Source organism: Homo sapiens, chromosome 19 (assembly GCF_000001405.40).
Source record: "Homo sapiens chromosome 19, GRCh38.p14 Primary Assembly".
NCBI lineage: Eukaryota > Metazoa > Chordata > Mammalia > Primates > Hominidae > Homo > Homo sapiens.
The window spans coordinates 36,282,058-36,302,552 of record NC_000019.10 but is presented as its reverse complement, the minus strand read 5'-3'; the positions used below and the strand labels follow the sequence as shown (position 1 = coordinate 36,302,552).

At 64.6% G+C, this 20,495-nt stretch overlaps 1 long non-coding RNA gene across 2 annotated transcripts in view, besides 5 other annotated features; it reads right to left on the bottom strand.

The window, feature by feature from the left end:
• Positions 1-20,495, bottom strand: part of CYKILR (cyclin dependent kinase inhibitor 2A regulated lncRNA) — a gene marked incomplete at its 3' end in the record, with an annotated part of 52,208 nt that overhangs the window by 18,739 nt on the left and 12,974 nt on the right. The window lies entirely within an intron of this gene.
• Positions 1,770-2,370: an enhancer, noted in NCBI's record as "H3K27ac-H3K4me1 hESC enhancer chr19:36791085-36791685 (GRCh37/hg19 assembly coordinates)". NCBI's record gives its function as "activates a minimal SCP1, AML or CMV promoter by ChIP-STARR-seq in naive H9 embryonic stem cells {active_cell/tissue: H9 hESC(naive)}" and the evidence as "EXISTENCE:reporter gene assay evidence [ECO:0000049][PMID:30033119]".
• Positions 2,371-2,972: an enhancer, noted in NCBI's record as "H3K27ac-H3K4me1 hESC enhancer chr19:36790483-36791084 (GRCh37/hg19 assembly coordinates)". NCBI's record gives its function as "activates a minimal SCP1, AML or CMV promoter by ChIP-STARR-seq in primed H9 embryonic stem cells {active_cell/tissue: H9 hESC(primed)}" and the evidence as "EXISTENCE:reporter gene assay evidence [ECO:0000049][PMID:30033119]".
• Positions 5,497-6,111: an enhancer, noted in NCBI's record as "H3K27ac-H3K4me1 hESC enhancer chr19:36787344-36787958 (GRCh37/hg19 assembly coordinates)". NCBI's record gives its function as "activates a minimal SCP1, AML or CMV promoter by ChIP-STARR-seq in primed H9 embryonic stem cells {active_cell/tissue: H9 hESC(primed)}" and the evidence as "EXISTENCE:reporter gene assay evidence [ECO:0000049][PMID:30033119]".
• Positions 6,112-6,727: an enhancer, noted in NCBI's record as "H3K27ac-H3K4me1 hESC enhancer chr19:36786728-36787343 (GRCh37/hg19 assembly coordinates)". NCBI's record gives its function as "activates a minimal SCP1, AML or CMV promoter by ChIP-STARR-seq in primed H9 embryonic stem cells {active_cell/tissue: H9 hESC(primed)}" and the evidence as "EXISTENCE:reporter gene assay evidence [ECO:0000049][PMID:30033119]".
• Positions 17,542-18,164: an enhancer, noted in NCBI's record as "H3K27ac-H3K4me1 hESC enhancer chr19:36775291-36775913 (GRCh37/hg19 assembly coordinates)". NCBI's record gives its function as "activates a minimal SCP1, AML or CMV promoter by ChIP-STARR-seq in naive H9 embryonic stem cells {active_cell/tissue: H9 hESC(naive)}" and the evidence as "EXISTENCE:reporter gene assay evidence [ECO:0000049][PMID:30033119]".

Genomic DNA, 20,495 nt, shown 5'->3' with positions numbered 1-20,495 from the left:
GACGTGAGAGAGAGACAGAAGTCGGCACACAGACAGGCACTGCGCGCGCACACACACAGACACACACACAGACGCACCCCCCCAACACACACACACACACACCCATGACGAACACACACGTACAGCAGGGAACACCCTCCCGCAGGCAGCCCCTGAAGCTGCCGGGTTCTGCTCTCCGCGACTGAGAGCCACCGGTGAGAGAGCAGCCCACGGGCACGCAGGCGGACCTGTGCTCGTCATCACAAGGGCTCCACTTTTGGGGAGACTCACCCGCACACCGTCCGCGCACGCCTGAGGCTGGGATCCCGCGCTGCCTCGCCGGCGATCTGTCTGAGGTTTCTTCCTCCTGGGGTTTCTTCCTGCTGCTGGACCCTCCGCGAATCCCGGCCTCCGGAGACCGTCCTGGTAACTGCCCTGGCCAGGACTGGTCTCAGCCCAGACTCAGACGCACGATCACACAGGGCTCCTACTTCCCCAAGTGTCAGGGACCCATCCCCGGGCAACGGTGGCTTTCACTGTGACCCAAGCGGCGGCTCGGGCCTCGCGCATGCGCGCTGGCGAGGCCGACTCCCCCGCTCCACCCCCCCTTACTCCGCAGAGTCAGGCTGCGGACCCTTTAAAAAATGGCGGCGACGCGGCGGCTGCGGGGCCTGGGGCGGCGGTGCTGGAGGTTGCGGCGGCGGCGGCGAAGGCGCAGCCCGAGGCGGCGGGTGGGAAGAGGACTGCCAGAGGGGCCTGCGGGAGACCCAGGGTCGGACCCATAGGAGTCCTGTGGTGAGGACCTCCTTGATCGCTCTTCTGCTTCGGTTCCCACTGAAGGAGGAGCTTCGGGGTGCCGGCTGGGCTGCGCGGACTCCTCTTGGGGTCCGATGATGGATCCCAGCGGGTGATCGGGAATGGGGTTCCAATGCAGTGAGGCGGAAAGGGTCTCGCCGGGGCACAGGAAGATCCCCAGGGCCGCAAGGCGTGCTGTCGGCTGCAAAGGCACCGACCCATGAGCCCACTGCCTCCCTCCTTCCTGGCAGGAGCAGGGGCCTGCCTTCATCTCCAAGGCCCGAGGGCTCCGGCAACCCGAGGCGGCTTCCGGCGACACGGGCAAAGAGAGACAGAGGCGAGTCCGAGCTGGAGCCAGTGTGTCCACATGTGGCACTGTCGTCCCCCAAGAGCACATGCAGGCAGCGTGTGTCTTTGAGGCCGTAGGGGGCGACGACGAGACGGACAGTGATGTCCAGGCGTGCGCCCGGGGGGCCACTGGAGACCTGCCCCACAAAGCGGAGGAAAAGCCAAGCGCACCTGAAAACCTGCGAGACAGGGCCTGTGCGCGAGTCCACGCCACGTTCAGGGAGGCCCGCCAGAGGAGCCGAGAGGTTTGGACAAAGTACACCCCACCCCCAGCCCGCCGCCGGCTAGGTACCCCTGACGCAACCTCCCCTGCACCCAGCCAAAACCCAGTCCCGTTGGCTCCCTGACATCCGTGGCAGCCAAAAGATTCGGTGCTAGAAGGCACTTTCCCCAGGAGCGGAGGAAGCGGTTGGCCCTCAAGAATCAGAGAGGAAGTGCAGGTGGGATGCAACACCGCCTTTCCTAGAAGGCCAATGTCAGGAGCGGTGGGCTTGCCTCCGCCTCTTCCTGGACCGAGCGTGCAGCCATCACTTGGGCCATGGAGACCGAGAGAGCTTCCCTGTCCCACACAGGTATGGAAGCCCAGAGCTCCAGGATCACCACAGCTGCCCAATCATCCAGAAAGAGGTGTGGAGAGGGAAACAATCATGACGCGGACCGCCACGAGGTTTCTCCCTGATGGACGGGGAAGTCTTCTTTGTGGAAGACACTGAGCCACACTAAGAAGCCGCCAGGCTTCTCAGAGACGGGGCAGACACAGCAAGAGGGAGGTCAGAGCAGAGGCCAGAGCCCAGGCAGGATACGGGGGGGCCATGCCACCACCACCGGCATCCGGGGAGGAGTGTCAAACGGGTGACTCGGCCAGGAAGGCCAGCCTTTGAGAGACAGACATGCTTGCCCCATCCCCTTGCCGGCTTCCTTCTCCGTCCCTGCGTCGAGCTGTGGCTACATTTCTCGATGAGGGCAGAGGGCGACAGGCGTGACAACCACCTTCTTGAAGCTCTGCGGGCACCCTCCTGCGGGTGGACGATGAGCGCCTGGGAGGCCGTTGTCCTTGGTTGGGGAGCGCTCGTCTGGATCCAGCCTAGCAAAGAGGCTGCTCCGGATGGGGAGGGGATGAAAACCCCTGCGGGTCCGACGCCGATGCCCACGTTGCCCAGGCCTTCACAGACCCCCAAACTGGAACCGCCGGGACGACGACTGCCAACCGGCCACACGACCCAGGCAGAGACGCGGGGAGAGGCTGACCAGAAGAAAGGCCGACGTGCAAGAAACCCACCCTCCGGCGCACAGGGCACATGTGTCCCGAGGCGCACGCACACACAGACGGACAGAGACAGAAAGAGAGGGCCACGGAAAGAGCGAGAAGGGAGACAGAGAGAGAGAGAGAGAGAGAGAGAGAGAGAGAGAGAGACGTGAGAGAGAGACAGAAGTCGGCACACAGACAGGCACTGCGCGCGCACACACACAGACACACACACAGACGCACCCCCCCCAACACACACACACACACACCCATGACGAACACACACGTACAGCAGGGAACACCCTCCCGCAGGCAGCCCCTGAAGCTGCCGGGTTCTGCTCTCCGCGACTGAGAGCCACCGGTGAGAGAGCAGCCCACGGGCACGCAGGCGGACCTGTGCTCGTCATCACAAGGGCTCCACTTTTGGGGAGACTCACCCGCACACCGTCCGCGCACGCCTGAGGCTGGGATCCCGCGCTGCCTCGCCGGCGATCTGTCTGAGGTTTCTTCCTCCTGGGGTTTCTTCCTGCTGCTGGACCCTCCGCGAATCCCGGCCTCCGGAGACCGTCCTGGTAACTGCCCTGGCCAGGACTGGTCTCAGCCCAGACTCAGACGCACGATCACACAGGGCTCCTACTTCCCCAAGTGTCAGGGACCCATCCCCGGGCAACGGTGGCTTTCACTGTGACCCAAGCGGCGGCTCGGGCCTCGCGCATGCGCGCTGGCGAGGCCGACTCCCCCGCTCCACCCCCCCTTACTCCGCAGAGTCAGGCTGCGGACCCTTTAAAAAATGGCGGCGACGCGGCGGCTGCGGGGCCTGGGGCGGCGGTGCTGGAGGTTGCGGCGGCGGCGGCGAAGGCGCAGCCCGAGGCGGCGGGTGGGAAGAGGACTGCCAGAGGGGCCTGCGGGAGACCCAGGGTCGGACCCATAGGAGTCCTGTGGTGAGGACCTCCTTGATCGCTCTTCTGCTTCGGTTCCCACTGAAGGAGGAGCTTCGGGGTGCCGGCTGGGCTGCGCGGACTCCTCTTGGGGTCCGATGATGGATCCCAGCGGGTGATCGGGAATGGGGTTCCAATGCAGTGAGGCGGAAAGGGTCTCGCCGGGGCACAGGAAGATCCCCAGGGCCGCAAGGCGTGCTGTCGGCTGCAAAGGCACCGACCCATGAGCCCACTGCCTCCCTCCTTCCTGGCAGGAGCAGGGGCCTGCCTTCATCTCCAAGGCCCGAGGGCTCCGGCAACCCGAGGCGGCTTCCGGCGACACGGGCAAAGAGAGACAGAGGCGAGTCCGAGCTGGAGCCAGCGTGTCCACATGTGGCACTGTCGTCCCCCAAGAGCACATGCAGGCAGCGTGTGTCTTTGAGGCCGTAGGGGGCGACGACGAGACGGACAGTGATGTCCAGGCGTGCGCCCGGGGGGCCACTGGAGACCTGCCCCACAAAGCGGAGGAAAAGCCAAGCGCACCTGAAAACCTGCGAGACAGGGCCTGTGCGCGAGTCCACGCCACGTTCAGGGAGGCCCGCCAGAGGAGCCGAGAGGTTTGGACAAAGTACACCCCACCCCCAGCCCGCCGCCGGCTAGGTACCCCTGACGCAACCTCCCCTGCACCCAGCCAAAACCCAGTCCCGTTGGCTCCCTGACATCCGTGGCAGCCAAAAGATTCGGTGCTAGAAGGCACTTTCCCCAGGAGCGGAGGAAGCGGTTGGCCCTCAAGAATCAGAGAGGAAGTGCAGGTGGGATGCAACACCGCCTTTCCTAGAAGGCCAATGTCAGGAGCGGTGGGCTTGCCTCCGCCTCTTCCTGGACCGAGCGTGCAGCCATCACTTGGGCCATGGAGACCCAGAGAGCTTCCCTGTCCCACACAGGTATGGAAGCCCAGAGCTCCAGGATCACCACAGCTGCCCAATCATCCAGAAAGAGGTGTGGAGAGGGAAACAATCATGACGCGGACCGCCACGAGGTTTCTCCCTGATGGACGGGGAAGTCTTCTTTGTGGAAGACACTGAGCCACACTAAGAAGCCGCCAGGCTTCTCAGAGGCGGGGCAGACACAGCAAGAGGGAGGTCAGAGCAGAGGCCAGAGCCCAGGCAGGATACGGGGGGGCCATGCCACCACCACCGGCATCCGGGGAGGAGTGTCAAACGGGTGACTCGGCCAGGAAGGCCAGCCTTTGAGAGACAGACATGCTTGCCCCATCCCCTTGCCGGCTTCCTTCTCCGTCCCTGCGTCGAGCTGTGGCTACATTTCTCGATGAGGGCAGAGGGCGACAGGCGTGACAACCACCTTCTTGAAGCTCTGCGGGCACCCTCCTGCGGGTGGACGATGAGCGCCTGGGAGGCCGTTGTCCTTGGTTGGGGAGCGCTCGTCTGGATCCAGCCTAGCAAAGAGGCTGCTCCGGATGGGGAGGGGATGAAAACCCCTGCGGGTCCGACGCCGATGCCCACGTTGCCCAGGCCTTCACAGACCCCCAAACTGGAACCGCCGGGACGACGACTGCCAACCGGCCACACGACCCAGGCAGAGACGCGGGGAGAGGCTGACCAGAAGAAAGGCCGACGTGCAAGAAACCCACCCTCCGGCGCACAGGGCACATGTGTCCCGAGGCGCACGCACACACAGACGGACAGAGACAGAAAGAGAGGGCCACGGAAAGAGCGAGAAGGGAGACAGAGAGAGAGAGAGAGAGAGAGAGAGAGAGAGAGAGAGACGTGAGAGAGAGACAGAAGTCGGCACACAGACAGGCACTGCGCGCGCACACACACAGACACACACACAGACGCACCCCCCCCAACACACACACACACACACCCATGACGAACACACACGTACAGCAGGGAACACCCTCCCGCAGGCAGCCCCTGAAGCTGCCGGGTTCTGCTCTCCGCGACTGAGAGCCACCGGTGAGAGAGCAGCCCACGGGCACGCAGGCGGACCTGTGCTCGTCATCACAAGGGCTCCACTTTTGGGGAGACTCACCCGCACACCGTCCGCGCACGCCTGAGGCTGGGATCCCGCGCTGCCTCGCCGGCGATCTGTCTGAGGTTTCTTCCTCCTGGGGTTTCTTCCTGCTGCTGGACCCTCCGCGAATCCCGGCCTCCGGAGACCGTCCTGGTAACTGCCCTGGCCAGGACTGGTCTCAGCCCAGACTCAGACGCACGATCACACAGGGCTCCTACTTCCCCAAGTGTCAGGGACCCATCCCCGGGCAACGGTGGCTTTCACTGTGACCCAAGCGGCGGCTCGGGCCTCGCGCATGCGCGCTGGCGAGGCCGACTCCCCCGCTCCACCCCCCGTTACTCCGCAGAGTCAGGCTGCGGACCCTTTAAAAAATGGCGGCGACGCGGCGGCTGCGGGGCCTGGGGCGGCGGTGCTGGAGGTTGCGGCGGCGGCGGCGAAGGCGCAGCCCGAGGCGGCGGGTGGGAAGAGGACTGCCAGAGGGGCCTGCGGGAGACCCAGGGTCGGACCCATAGGAGTCCTGTGGTGAGGACCTCCTTGATCGCTCTTCTGCTTCGGTTCCCACTGAAGGAGGAGCTTCGGGGTGCCGGCTGGGCTGCGCGGACTCCTCTTGGGGTCCGATGATGGATCCCAGCGGGTGATCGGGAATGGGGTTCCAATGCAGTGAGGCGGAAAGGGTCTCGCCGGGGCACAGGAAGATCCCCAGGGCCGCAAGGCGTGCTGTCGGCTGCAAAGGCACCGACCCATGAGCCCACTGCCTCCCTCCTTCCTGGCAGGAGCAGGGGCCTGCCTTCATCTCCAAGGCCCGAGGGCTCCGGCAACCCGAGGCGGCTTCCGGCGACACGGGCAAAGAGAGACAGAGGCGAGTCCGAGCTGGAGCCAGCGTGTCCACATGTGGCACTGTCGTCCCCCAAGAGCACATGCAGGCAGCGTGTGTCTTTGAGGCCGTAGGGGGCGACGACGAGACGGACAGTGATGTCCAGGCGTGCGCCCGGGGGGCCACTGGAGACCTGCCCCACAAAGCGGAGGAAAAGCCAAGCGCACCTGAAAACCTGCGAGACAGGGCCTGTGCGCGAGTCCACGCCACGTTCAGGGAGGCCCGCCAGAGGAGCCGAGAGGTTTGGACAAAGTACACCCCACCCCCAGCCCGCCGCCGGCTAGGTACCCCTGACGCAACCTCCCCTGCACCCAGCCAAAACCCAGTCCCGTTGGCTCCCTGACATCCGTGGCAGCCAAAAGATTCGGTGCTAGAAGGCACTTTCCCCAGGAGCGGAGGAAGCGGTTGGCCCTCAAGAATCAGAGAGGAAGTGCAGGTGGGATGCAACACCGCCTTTCCTAGAAGGCCAATGTCAGGAGCGGTGGGCTTGCCTCCGCCTCTTCCTGGACCGAGCGTGCAGCCATCACTTGGGCCATGGAGACCCAGAGAGCTTCCCTGTCCCACACAGGTATGGAAGCCCAGAGCTCCAGGATCACCACAGCTGCCCAATCATCCAGAAAGAGGTGTGGAGAGGGAAACAATCATGACGCGGACCGCCACGAGGTTTCTCCCTGATGGACGGGGAAGTCTTCTTTGTGGAAGACACTGAGCCACACTAAGAAGCCGCCAGGCTTCTCAGAGGCGGGGCAGACACAGCAAGAGGGAGGTCAGAGCAGAGGCCAGAGCCCAGGCAGGATACGGGGGGGCCATGCCACCACCACCGGCATCCGGGGAGGAGTGTCAAACGGGTGACTCGGCCAGGAAGGCCAGCCTTTGAGAGACAGACATGCTTGCCCCATCCCCTTGCCGGCTTCCTTCTCCGTCCCTGCGTCGAGCTGTGGCTACATTTCTCGATGAGGGCAGAGGGCGACAGGCGTGACAACCACCTTCTTGAAGCTCTGCGGGCACCCTCCTGCGGGTGGACGATGAGCGCCTGGGAGGCCGTTGTCCTTGGTTGGGGAGCGCTCGTCTGGATCCAGCCTAGCAAAGAGGCTGCTCCGGATGGGGAGGGGATGAAAACCCCTGCGGGTCCGACGCCGATGCCCACGTTGCCCAGGCCTTCACAGACCCCCAAACTGGAACCGCCGGGACGACGACTGCCAACCGGCCACACGACCCAGGCAGAGACGCGGGGAGAGGCTGACCAGAAGAAAGGCCGACGTGCAAGAAACCCACCCTCCGGCGCACAGGGCACATGTGTCCCGAGGCGCACGCACACACAGACGGACAGAGACAGAAAGAGAGGGCCACGGAAAGAGCGAGAAGGGAGACAGAGAGAGAGAGAGAGAGAGAGAGAGACGTGAGAGAGAGACAGAAGTCGGCACACAGACAGGCACTGCGCGCGCACACACACAGACACACACACAGACGCACCCCCCCCAACACACACACACACACACCCATGACGAACACACACGTACAGCAGGGAACACCCTCCCGCAGGCAGCCCCTGAAGCTGCCGGGTTCTGCTCTCCGCGACTGAGAGCCACCGGTGAGAGAGCAGCCCACGGGCACGCAGGCGGACCTGTGCTCGTCATCACAAGGGCTCCACTTTTGGGGAGACTCACCCGCACACCGTCCGCGCACGCCTGAGGCTGGGATCCCGCGCTGCCTCGCCGGCGATCTGTCTGAGGTTTCTTCCTCCTGGGGTTTCTTCCTGCTGCTGGACCCTCCGCGAATCCCGGCCTCCGGAGACCGTCCTGGTAACTGCCCTGGCCAGGACTGGTCTCAGCCCAGACTCAGACGCACGATCACACAGGGCTCCTACTTCCCCAAGTGTCAGGGACCCATCCCCGGGCAACGGTGGCTTTCACTGTGACCCAAGCGGCGGCTCGGGCCTCGCGCATGCGCGCTGGCGAGGCCGACTCCCCCGCTCCACCCCCCCTTACTCCGCAGAGTCAGGCTGCGGACCCTTTAAAAAATGGCGGCGACGCGGCGGCTGCGGGGCCTGGGGCGGCGGTGCTGGAGGTTGCGGCGGCGGCGGCGAAGGCGCAGCCCGAGGCGGCGGGTGGGAAGAGGACTGCCAGAGGGGCCTGCGGGAGACCCAGGGTCGGACCCATAGGAGTCCTGTGGTGAGGACCTCCTTGATCGCTCTTCTGCTTCGGTTCCCACTGAAGGAGGAGCTTCGGGGTGCCGGCTGGGCTGCGCGGACTCCTCTTGGGGTCCGATGATGGATCCCAGCGGGTGATCGGGAATGGGGTTCCAATGCAGTGAGGCGGAAAGGGTCTCGCCGGGGCACAGGAAGATCCCCAGGGCCGCAAGGCGTGCTGTCGGCTGCAAAGGCACCGACCCATGAGCCCACTGCCTCCCTCCTTCCTGGCAGGAGCAGGGGCCTGCCTTCATCTCCAAGGCCCGAGGGCTCCGGCAACCCGAGGCGGCTTCCGGCGACACGGGCAAAGAGAGACAGAGGCGAGTCCGAGCTGGAGCCAGTGTGTCCACATGTGGCACTGTCGTCCCCCAAGAGCACATGCAGGCAGCGTGTGTCTTTGAGGCCGTAGGGGGCGACGACGAGACGGACAGTGATGTCCAGGCGTGCGCCCGGGGGGCCACTGGAGACCTGCCCCACAAAGCGGAGGAAAAGCCAAGCGCACCTGAAAACCTGCGAGACAGGGCCTGTGCGCGAGTCCACGCCACGTTCAGGGAGGCCCGCCAGAGGAGCCGAGAGGTTTGGACAAAGTACACCCCACCCCCAGCCCGCCGCCGGCTAGGTACCCCTGACGCAACCTCCCCTGCACCCAGCCAAAACCCAGTCCCGTTGGCTCCCTGACATCCGTGGCAGCCAAAAGATTCGGTGCTAGAAGGCACTTTCCCCAGGAGCGGAGGAAGCGGTTGGCCCTCAAGAATCAGAGAGGAAGTGCAGGTGGGATGCAACACCGCCTTTCCTAGAAGGCCAATGTCAGGAGCGGTGGGCTTGCCTCCGCCTCTTCCTGGACCGAGCGTGCAGCCATCACTTGGGCCATGGAGACCCAGAGAGCTTCCCTGTCCCACACAGGTATGGAAGCCCAGAGCTCCAGGATCACCACAGCTGCCCAATCATCCAGAAAGAGGTGTGGAGAGGGAAACAATCATGACGCGGACCGCCACGAGGTTTCTCCCTGATGGACGGGGAAGTCTTCTTTGTGGAAGACACTGAGCCACACTAAGAAGCCGCCAGGCTTCTCAGAGGCGGGGCAGACACAGCAAGAGGGAGGTCAGAGCAGAGGCCAGAGCCCAGGCAGGATACGGGGGGGCCATGCCACCACCACCGGCATCCGGGGAGGAGTGTCAAACGGGTGACTCGGCCAGGAAGGCCAGCCTTTGAGAGACAGACATGCTTGCCCCATCCCCTTGCCGGCTTCCTTCTCCGTCCCTGCGTCGAGCTGTGGCTACATTTCTCGATGAGGGCAGAGGGCGACAGGCGTGACAACCACCTTCTTGAAGCTCTGCGGGCACCCTCCTGCGGGTGGACGATGAGCGCCTGGGAGGCCGTTGTCCTTGGTTGGGGAGCGCTCGTCTGGATCCAGCCTAGCAAAGAGGCTGCTCCGGATGGGGAGGGGATGAAAACCCCTGCGGGTCCGACGCCGATGCCCACGTTGCCCAGGCCTTCACAGACCCCCAAACTGGAACCGCCGGGACGACGACTGCCAACCGGCCACACGACCCAGGCAGAGACGCGGGGAGAGGCTGACCAGAAGAAAGGCCGACGTGCAAGAAACCCACCCTCCGGCGCACAGGGCACATGTGTCCCGAGGCGCACGCACACAGACGGACAGAGACAGAAAGAGAGGGCCACGGAAAGAGCGAGAAGGGAGACAGAGAGAGAGAGAGAGAGAGAGAGAGAGAGAGAGACGTGAGAGAGAGACAGAAGTCGGCACACAGACAGGCACTGCGCGCGCACACACACAGACACACACACAGACGCACCCCCCCAACACACACACACACACACCCATGACGAACACACACGTACAGCAGGGAACACCCTCCCGCAGGCAGCCCCTGAAGCTGCCGGGTTCTGCTCTCCGCGACTGAGAGCCACCGGTGAGAGAGCAGCCCACGGGCACGCAGGCGGACCTGTGCTCGTCATCACAAGGGCTCCACTTTTGGGGAGACTCACCCGCACACCGTCCGCGCACGCCTGAGGCTGGGATCCCGCGCTGCCTCGCCGGCGATCTGTCTGAGGTTTCTTCCTCCTGGGGTTTCTTCCTGCTGCTGGACCCTCCGCGAATCCCGGCCTCCGGAGACCGTCCTGGTAACTGCCCTGGCCAGGACTGGTCTCAGCCCAGACTCAGACGTACGATCACACAGGGCTCCTACTTCCCCAAGTGTCAGGGACCCATCCCCGGGCAACGGTGGCTTTCACTGTGACCCAAGCGGCGGCTCGGGCCTCGCGCATGCGCGCTGGCGAGGCCGACTCCCCCGCTCCACCCCCCCTTACTCCGCAGAGTCAGGCTGCGGACCCTTTAAAAAATGGCGGCGACGCGGCGGCTGCGGGGCCTGGGGCGGCGGTGCTGGAGGTTGCGGCGGCGGCGGCGAAGGCGCAGCCCGAGGCGGCGGGTGGGGAGAGGACTGCCAGAGGGGCCTGCGGGAGACCCAGGGTCGGACCCATGAGTCCTGTGGTGAGGACCTCCTTGATCGCTCTTCTGCTTCGGTTCCCACTGAAGGAGGAGCTTCGGGGTGCCGGCTGGGCTGCGCGGACTCCTCTTGGGGTCCGATGATGGATCCCAGCGGGTGATCGGGAATGGGGTTCCAATGCAGTGAGGCGGAAAGGGTCTCGCCGGGGCACAGGAAGATCCCCAGGGCCGCAAGGCGTGCTGTCGGCTGCAAAGGCACCGACCCATGAGCCCACTGCCTCCCTCCTTCCTGGCAGGAGCAGGGGCCTGCCTTCATCTCCAAGGCCCGAGGGCTCCGGCAACCCGAGGCGGCTTCCGGCGACACGGGCAAAGAGAGACAGAGGCGAGTCCGAGCTGGAGCCAGTGTGTCCACATGTGGCACTGTCGTCCCCCAAGAGCACATGCAGGCAGCGTGTGTCTTTGAGGCCGTAGGGGGCGACGACGAGACGGACAGTGATGTCCAGGCGTGCGCCCGGGGGGCCACTGGAGACCTGCCCCACAAAGCGGAGGAAAAGCCAAGCGCACCTGAAAACCTGCGAGACAGGGCCTGTGCGCGAGTCCACGCCACGTTCAGGGAGGCCCGCCAGAGGAGCCAAGAGGTTTGGACAAAGTACACCCCACCCCCAGCCCGCCGCCGGCTAGGTACCCCTGACGCAACCTCCCCTGCACCCAGCCAAAACCCAGTCCCGTTGGCTCCCTGACATCCGTGGCAGCCAAAAGATTCGGTGCTAGAAGGCACTTTCCCCAGGAGCGGAGGAAGCGGTTGGCCCTCAAGAATCAGAGAGGAAGTGCATGTGGGATGCAACACCGCCTTTCCTAGAAGGCCAATGTCAGGAGCGGTGGGCTTGCCTCCGCCTCTTCCTGGACCGAGCGTGCAGCCATCACTTGGGCCATGGAGACCGAGAGAGCTTCCCTGTCCCACACAGGTATGGAAGCCCAGAGCTCCAGGATCACCACAGCTGCCCAATCATCCAGAAAGAGGTGTGGAGAGGGAAACAATCATGACGCGGACCGCCACGAGGTTTCTCCCTGATGGACGGGGAAGTCTTCTTTGTGGAAGACACTGAGCCACACTAAGAAGCCGCCAGGCTTCTCAGAGGCGGGGCAGACACAGCAAGAGGGAGGTCAGAGCAGAGGCCAGAGCCCAGGCAGGATACGGGGGGGCCATGCCACCACCACCGGCATCCGGGGAGGAGTGTCAAACGGGTGACTCGGCCAGGAAGGCCAGCCTTTGAGAGACAGACATGCTTGCCCCATCCCCTTGCCGGCTTCCTTCTCCGTCCCTGCGTCGAGCTGTGGCTACATTTCTCGATGAGGGCAGAGGGCGACAGGCGTGACAACCACCTTCTTGAAGCTCTGCGGGCACCCTCCTGCGGGTGGACGATGAGCGCCTGGGAGGCCGTTGTCCTTGGTTGGGGAGCGCTCGTCTGGATCCAGCCTAGCAAAGAGGCTGCTCCGGATGGGGAGGGGATGAAAACCCCTGCGGGTCCGACGCCGATGCCCACGTTGCCCAGGCCTTCACAGACCCCCAAACTGGAACCGCCGGGACGACGACTGCCAACCGGCCACACGACCCAGGCAGAGACGCGGGGAGAGGCTGACCAGAAGAAAGGCCGACGTGCAAGAAACCCACCCTCCGGCGCACAGGGCACATGTGTCCCGAGGCGCACGCACACACAGACGGACAGAGACAGAAAGAGAGGGCCACGGAAAGAGCGAGAAGGGAGACAGAGAGAGAGAGAGAGAGAGAGAGAGAGAGAGAGAGAGAGACGTGAGAGAGAGACAGAAGTCGGCACACAGACAGGCACTGCGCGCGCACACACACAGACACACACACAGACGCACCCCCCCCAACACACACACACACACACCCATGACGAACACACACGTACAGCAGGGAACACCCTCCCGCAGGCAGCCCCTGAAGCTGCCGGGTTCTGCTCTCCGCGACTGAGAGCCACCGGTGAGAGAGCAGCCCACGGGCACGCAGGCGGACCTGTGCTCGTCATCACAAGGGCTCCACTTTTGGGGAGACTCACCCGCACACCGTCCGCGCACGCCTGAGGCTGGGATCCCGCGCTGCCTCGCCGGCGATCTGTCTGAGGTTTCTTCCTCCTGGGGTTTCTTCCTGCTGCTGGACCCTCCGCGAATCCCGGCCTCCGGAGACCGTCCTGGTAACTGCCCTGGCCAGGACTGGTCTCAGCCCAGACTCAGACGCACGATCACACAGGGCTCCTACTTCCCCAAGTGTCAGGGACCCATCCCCGGGCAACGGTGGCTTTCACTGTGACCCAAGCGGCGGCTCGGGCCTCGCGCATGCGCGCTGGCGAGGCCGACTCCCCCGCTCCACCCCCCCTTACTCCGCAGAGTCAGGCTGCGGACCCTTTAAAAAATGGCGGCGACGCGGCGGCTGCGGGGCCTGGGGCGGCGGTGCTGGAGGTTGCGGCGGCGGCGGCGAAGGCGCAGCCCGAGGCGGCGGGTGGGAAGAGGACTGCCAGAGGGGCCTGCGGGAGACCCAGGGTCGGACCCATAGGAGTCCTGTGGTGAGGACCTCCTTGATCGCTCTTCTGCTTCGGTTCCCACTGAAGGAGGAGCTTCGGGGTGCCGGCTGGGCTGCGCGGACTCCTCTTGGGGTCCGATGATGGATCCCAGCGGGTGATCGGGAATGGGGTTCCAATGCAGTGAGGCGGAAAGGGTCTCGCCGGGGCACAGGAAGATCCCCAGGGCCGCAAGGCGTGCTGTCGGCTGCAAAGGCACCGACCCATGAGCCCACTGCCTCCCTCCTTCCTGGCAGGAGCAGGGGCCTGCCTTCATCTCCAAGGCCCGAGGGCTCCGGCAACCCGAGGCGGCTTCCGGCGACACGGGCAAAGAGAGACAGAGGCGAGTCCGAGCTGGAGCCAGTGTGTCCACATGTGGCACTGTCGTCCCCCAAGAGCACATGCAGGCAGCGTGTGTCTTTGAGGCCGTAGGGGGCGACGACGAGACGGACAGTGATGTCCAGGCGTGCGCCCGGGGGGCCACTGGAGACCTGCCCCACAAAGCGGAGGAAAAGCCAAGCGCACCTGAAAACCTGCGAGACAGGGCCTGTGCGCGAGTCCACGCCACGTTCAGGGAGGCCCGCCAGAGGAGCCGAGAGGTTTGGACAAAGTACACCCCACCCCCAGCCCGCCGCCGGCTAGGTACCCCTGACGCAACCTCCCCTGCACCCAGCCAAAACCCAGTCCCGTTGGCTCCCTGACATCCGTGGCAGCCAAAAGATTCGGTGCTAGAAGGCACTTTCCCCAGGAGCGGAGGAAGCGGTTGGCCCTCAAGAATCAGAGAGGAAGTGCAGGTGGGATGCAACACCGCCTTTCCTAGAAGGCCAATGTCAGGAGCGGTGGGCTTGCCTCCGCCTCTTCCTGGACCGAGCGTGCAGCCATCACTTGGGCCATGGAGACCGAGAGAGCTTCCCTGTCCCACACAGGTATGGAAGCCCAGAGCTCCAGGATCACCACAGCTGCCCAATCATCCAGAAAGAGGTGTGGAGAGGGAAACAATCATGACGCGGACCGCCACGAGGTTTCTCCCTGATGGACGGGGAAGTCTTCTTTGTGGAAGACACTGAGCCACACTAAGAAGCCGCCAGGCTTCTCAGAGACGGGGCAGACACAGCAAGAGGGAGGTCAGAGCAGAGGCCAGAGCCCAGGCAGGATACGGGGGGGCCATGCCACCACCACCGGCATCCGGGGAGGAGTGTCAAACGGGTGACTCGGCCAGGAAGGCCAGCCTTTGAGAGACAGACATGCTTGCCCCATCCCCTTGCCGGCTTCCTTCTCCGTCCCTGCGTCGAGCTGTGGCTACATTTCTCGATGAGGGCAGAGGGCGACAGGCGTGACAACCACCTTCTTGAAGCTCTGCGGGCACCCTCCTGCGGGTGGACGATGAGCGCCTGGGAGGCCGTTGTCCTTGGTTGGGGAGCGCTCGTCTGGATCCAGCCTAGCAAAGAGGCTGCTCCGGATGGGGAGGGGATGAAAACCCCTGCGGGTCCGACGCCGATGCCCACGTTGCCCAGGCCTTCACAGACCCCCAAACTGGAACCGCCGGGACGACGACTGCCAACCGGCCACACGACCCAGGCAGAGACGCGGGGAGAGGCTGACCAGAAGAAAGGCCGACGTGCAAGAAACCCACCCTCCGGCGCACAGGGCACATGTGTCCCGAGGCGCACGCACACACAGACGGACAGAGACAGAAAGAGAGGGCCACGGAAAGAGCGAGAAGGGAGACAGAGAGAGAGAGAGAGAGAGAGAGAGAGAGAGAGAGAGAGAGACGTGAGAGAGAGACAGAAGTCGGCACACAGACAGGCACTGCGCGCGCACACACACAGACACACACACAGACGCACCCCCCCAACACACACACACACACACCCATGACGAACACACACGTACAGCAGGGAACACCCTCCCGCAGGCAGCCCCTGAAGCTGCCGGGTTCTGCTCTCCGCGACTGAGAGCCACCGGTGAGAGAGCAGCCCACGGGCACGCAGGCGGACCTGTGCTCGTCATCACAAGGGCTCCACTTTTGGGGAGACTCACCCGCACACCGTCCGCGCACGCCTGAGGCTGGGATCCCGCGCTGCCTCGCCGGCGATCTGTCTGAGGTTTCTTCCTCCTGGGGTTTCTTCCTGCTGCTGGACCCTCCGCGAATCCCGGCCTCCGGAGACCGTCCTGGTAACTGCCCTGGCCAGGACTGGTCTCAGCCCAGACTCAGACGTACGATCACACAGGGCTCCTACTTCCCCAAGTGTCAGGGACCCATCCCCGGGCAACGGTGGCTTTCACTGTGACCCAAGCGGCGGCTCGGGCCTCGCGCATGCGCGCTGGCGAGGCCGACTCCCCCGCTCCACCCCCCCTTACTCCGCAGAGTCAGGCTGCGGACCCTTTAAAAAATGGCGGCGACGCGGCGGCTGCGGGGCCTGGGGCGGCGGTGCTGGAGGTTGCGGCGGCGGCGGCGAAGGCGCAGCCCGAGGCGGCGGGTGGGGAGAGGACTGCCAGAGGGGCCTGCGGGAGACCCAGGGTCGGACCCATGAGTCCTGTGGTGAGGACCTCCTTGATCGCTCTTCTGCTTCGGTTCCCACTGAAGGAGGAGCTTCGGGGTGCCGGCTGGGCTGCGCGGACTCCTCTTGGGGTCCGATGATGGATCCCAGCGGGTGATCGGGAATGGGGTTCCAATGCAGTGAGGCGGAAAGGGTCTCGCCGGGGCACAGGAAGATCCCCAGGGCCGCAAGGCGTGCTGTCGGCTGCAAAGGCACCGACCCATGAGCCCACTGCCTCCCTCCTTCCTGGCAGGAGCAGGGGCCTGCCTTCATCTCCAAGGCCCGAGGGCTCCGGCAACCCGAGGCGGCTTCCGGCGACACGGGCAAAGAGAGACAGAGGCGAGTCCGAGCTGGAGCCAGTGTGTCCACATGTGGCACTGTCGTCCCCCAAGAGCACATGCAGGCAGCGTGTGTCTTTGAGGCCGTAGGGGGCGACGACGAGACGGACAGTGATGTCCAGGCGTGCGCCCGGGGGGCCACTGGAGACCTGCCCCACAAAGCGGAGGAAAAGCCAAGCGCACCTGAAAACCTGCGAGACAGGGCCTGTGCGCGAGTCCACGCCACGTTCAGGGAGGCCCGCCAGAGGAGCCGAGAGGTTTGGACAAAGTACACCCCACCCCCAGCCCGCCGCCGGCTAGGTACCCCTGACGCAACCTCCCCTGCACCCAGCCAAAACCCAGTCCCGTTGGCTCCCTGACATCCGTGGCAGCCAAAAGATTCGGTGCTAGAAGGCACTTTCCCCAGGAGCGGAGGAAGCGGTTGGCCCTCAAGAATCAGAGAGGAAGTGCAGGTGGGATGCAACACCGCCTTTCCTAGAAGGCCAATGTCAGGAGCGGTGGGCTTGCCTCCGCCTCTTCCTGGACCGAGCGTGCAGCCATCACTTGGGCCATGGAGACCGAGAGAGCTTCCCTGTCCCACACAGGTATGGAAGCCCAGAGCTCCAGGATCACCACAGCTGCCCAATCATCCAGAAAGAGGTGTGGAGAGGGAAACAATCATGACGCGGACCGCCACGAGGTTTCTCCCTGATGGACGGGGAAGTCTTCTTTGTGGAAGACACTGAGCCACACTAAGAAGCCGCCAGGCTTCTCAGAGGCGGGGCAGACACAGCAAGAGGGAGGTCAGAGCAGAGGCCAGAGCCCAGGCAGGATACGGGGGGGCCATGCCACCACCACCGGCATCCGGGGAGGAGTGTCAAACGGGTGACTCGGCCAGGAAGGCCAGCCTTTGAGAGACAGACATGCTTGCCCCATCCCCTTGCCGGCTTCCTTCTCCGTCCCTGCGTCGAGCTGTGGCTACATTTCTCGATGAGGGCAGAGGGCGACAGGCGTGACAACCACCTTCTTGAAGCTCTGCGGGCACCCTCCTGCGGGTGGACGATGAGCGCCTGGGAGGCCGTTGTCCTTGGTTGGGGAGCGCTCGTCTGGATCCAGCCTAGCAAAGAGGCTGCTCCGGATGGGGAGGGGATGAAAACCCCTGCGGGTCCGACGCCGATGCCCACGTTGCCCAGGCCTTCACAGACCCCCAAACTGGAACCGCCGGGACGACGACTGCCAACCGGCCACACGACCCAGGCAGAGACGCGGGGAGAGGCTGACCAGAAGAAAGGCCGACGTGCAAGAAACCCACCCTCCGGCGCACAGGGCACATGTGTCCCGAGGCGCACGCACACACAGACGGACAGAGACAGAAAGAGAGGGCCACGGAAAGAGCGAGAAGGGAGACAGAGAGAGAGAGAGAGAGAGAGAGAGAGAGAGAGAGACGTGAGAGAGAGACAGAAGTCGGCACACAGACAGGCACTGCGCGCGCACACACACAGACACACACACAGACGCACCCCCCCCAACACACACACACACACACCCATGACGAACACACACGTACAGCAGGGAACACCCTCCCGCAGGCAGCCCCTGAAGCTGCCGGGTTCTGCTCTCCGCGACTGAGAGCCACCGGTGAGAGAGCAGCCCACGGGCACGCAGGCGGACCTGTGCTCGTCATCACAAGGGCTCCACTTTTGGGGAGACTCACCCGCACACCGTCCGCGCACGCCTGAGGCTGGGATCCCGCGCTGCCTCGCCGGCGATCTGTCTGAGGTTTCTTCCTCCTGGGGTTTCTTCCTGCTGCTGGACCCTCCGCGAATCCCGGCCTCCGGAGACCGTCCTGGTAACTGCCCTGGCCAGGACTGGTCTCAGCCCAGACTCAGACGCACGATCACACAGGGCTCCTACTTCCCCAAGTGTCAGGGACCCATCCCCGGGCAACGGTGGCTTTCACTGTGACCCAAGCGGCGGCTCGGGCCTCGCGCATGCGCGCTGGCGAGGCCGACTCCCCCGCTCCACCCCCCCTTACTCCGCAGAGTCAGGCTGCGGACCCTTTAAAAAATGGCGGCGACGCGGCGGCTGCGGGGCCTGGGGCGGCGGTGCTGGAGGTTGCGGCGGCGGCGGCGAAGGCGCAGCCCGAGGCGGCGGGTGGGAAGAGGACTGCCAGAGGGGCCTGCGGGAGACCCAGGGTCGGACCCATAGGAGTCCTGTGGTGAGGACCTCCTTGATCGCTCTTCTGCTTCGGTTCCCACTGAAGGAGGAGCTTCGGGGTGCCGGCTGGGCTGCGCGGACTCCTCTTGGGGTCCGATGATGGATCCCAGCGGGTGATCGGGAATGGGGTTCCAATGCAGTGAGGCGGAAAGGGTCTCGCCGGGGCACAGGAAGATCCCCAGGGCCGCAAGGCGTGCTGTCGGCTGCAAAGGCACCGACCCATGAGCCCACTGCCTCCCTCCTTCCTGGCAGGAGCAGGGGCCTGCCTTCATCTCCAAGGCCCGAGGGCTCCGGCAACCCGAGGCGGCTTCCGGCGACACGGGCAAAGAGAGACAGAGGCGAGTCCGAGCTGGAGCCAGCGTGTCCACATGTGGCACTGTCGTCCCCCAAGAGCACATGCAGGCAGCGTGTGTCTTTGAGGCCGTAGGGGGCGACGACGAGACGGACAGTGATGTCCAGGCGTGCGCCCGGGGGGCCACTGGAGACCTGCCCCACAAAGCGGAGGAAAAGCCAAGCGCACCTGAAAACCTGCGAGACAGGGCCTGTGCGCGAGTCCACGCCACGTTCAGGGAGGCCCGCCAGAGGAGCCGAGAGGTTTGGACAAAGTACACCCCACCCCCAGCCCGCCGCCGGCTAGGTACCCCTGACGCAACCTCCCCTGCACCCAGCCAAAACCCAGTCCCGTTGGCTCCCTGACATCCGTGGCAGCCAAAAGATTCGGTGCTAGAAGGCACTTTCCCCAGGAGCGGAGGAAGCGGTTGGCCCTCAAGAATCAGAGAGGAAGTGCAGGTGGGATGCAACACCGCCTTTCCTAGAAGGCCAATGTCAGGAGCGGTGGGCTTGCCTCCGCCTCTTCCTGGACCGAGCGTGCAGCCATCACTTGGGCCATGGAGACCGAGAGAGCTTCCCTGTCCCACACAGGTATGGAAGCCCAGAGCTCCAGGATCACCACAGCTGCCCAATCATCCAGAAAGAGGTGTGGAGAGGGAAACAATCATGACGCGGACCGCCACGAGGTTTCTCCCTGATGGACGGGGAAGTCTTCTTTGTGGAAGACACTGAGCCACACTAAGAAGCCGCCAGGCTTCTCAGAGACGGGGCAGACACAGCAAGAGGGAGGTCAGAGCAGAGGCCAGAGCCCAGGCAGGATACGGGGGGGCCATGCCACCACCACCGGCATCCGGGGAGGAGTGTCAAACGGGTGACTCGGCCAGGAAGGCCAGCCTTTGAGAGACAGACATGCTTGCCCCATCCCCTTGCCGGCTTCCTTCTCCGTCCCTGCGTCGAGCTGTGGCTACATTTCTCGATGAGGGCAGAGGGCGACAGGCGTGACAACCACCTTCTTGAAGCTCTGCGGGCACCCTCCTGCGGGTGGACGATGAGCGCCTGGGAGGCCGTTGTCCTTGGTTGGGGAGCGCTCGTCTGGATCCAGCCTAGCAAAGAGGCTGCTCCGGATGGGGAGGGGATGAAAACCCCTGCGGGTCCGACGCCGATGCCCACGTTGCCCAGGCCTTCACAGACCCCCAAACTGGAACCGCCGGGACGACGACTGCCAACCGGCCACACGACCCAGACAGAGACGCGGGGAGAGGCTGACCAGAAGAAAGGCCGACGTGCAAGAAACCCACCCTCCGGCGCACAGGGCACATGTGTCCCGAGGCGCACGCACACACAGACGGACAGAGACAGAAAGAGAGGGCCACGGAAAGAGCGAGAAGGGAGAGAGGGAGAGGGAGAGAGAGAGAGAGAGAGAGAGAGAGAGAGAGACGTGAGAGAGAGACAGAAGTCGGCACACAGACAGGCACTGCGCGCGCACACACACAGACACACACACAGACGCACCCCCCCCAACACACACACACACACACCCATGACGAACACACACGTACAGCAGGGAACACCCTCCCGCAGGCAGCCCCTGAAGCTGCCGGGTTCTGCTCTCCGCGACTGAGAGCCACCGGTGAGAGAGCAGCCCACGGGCACGCAGGCGGACCTGT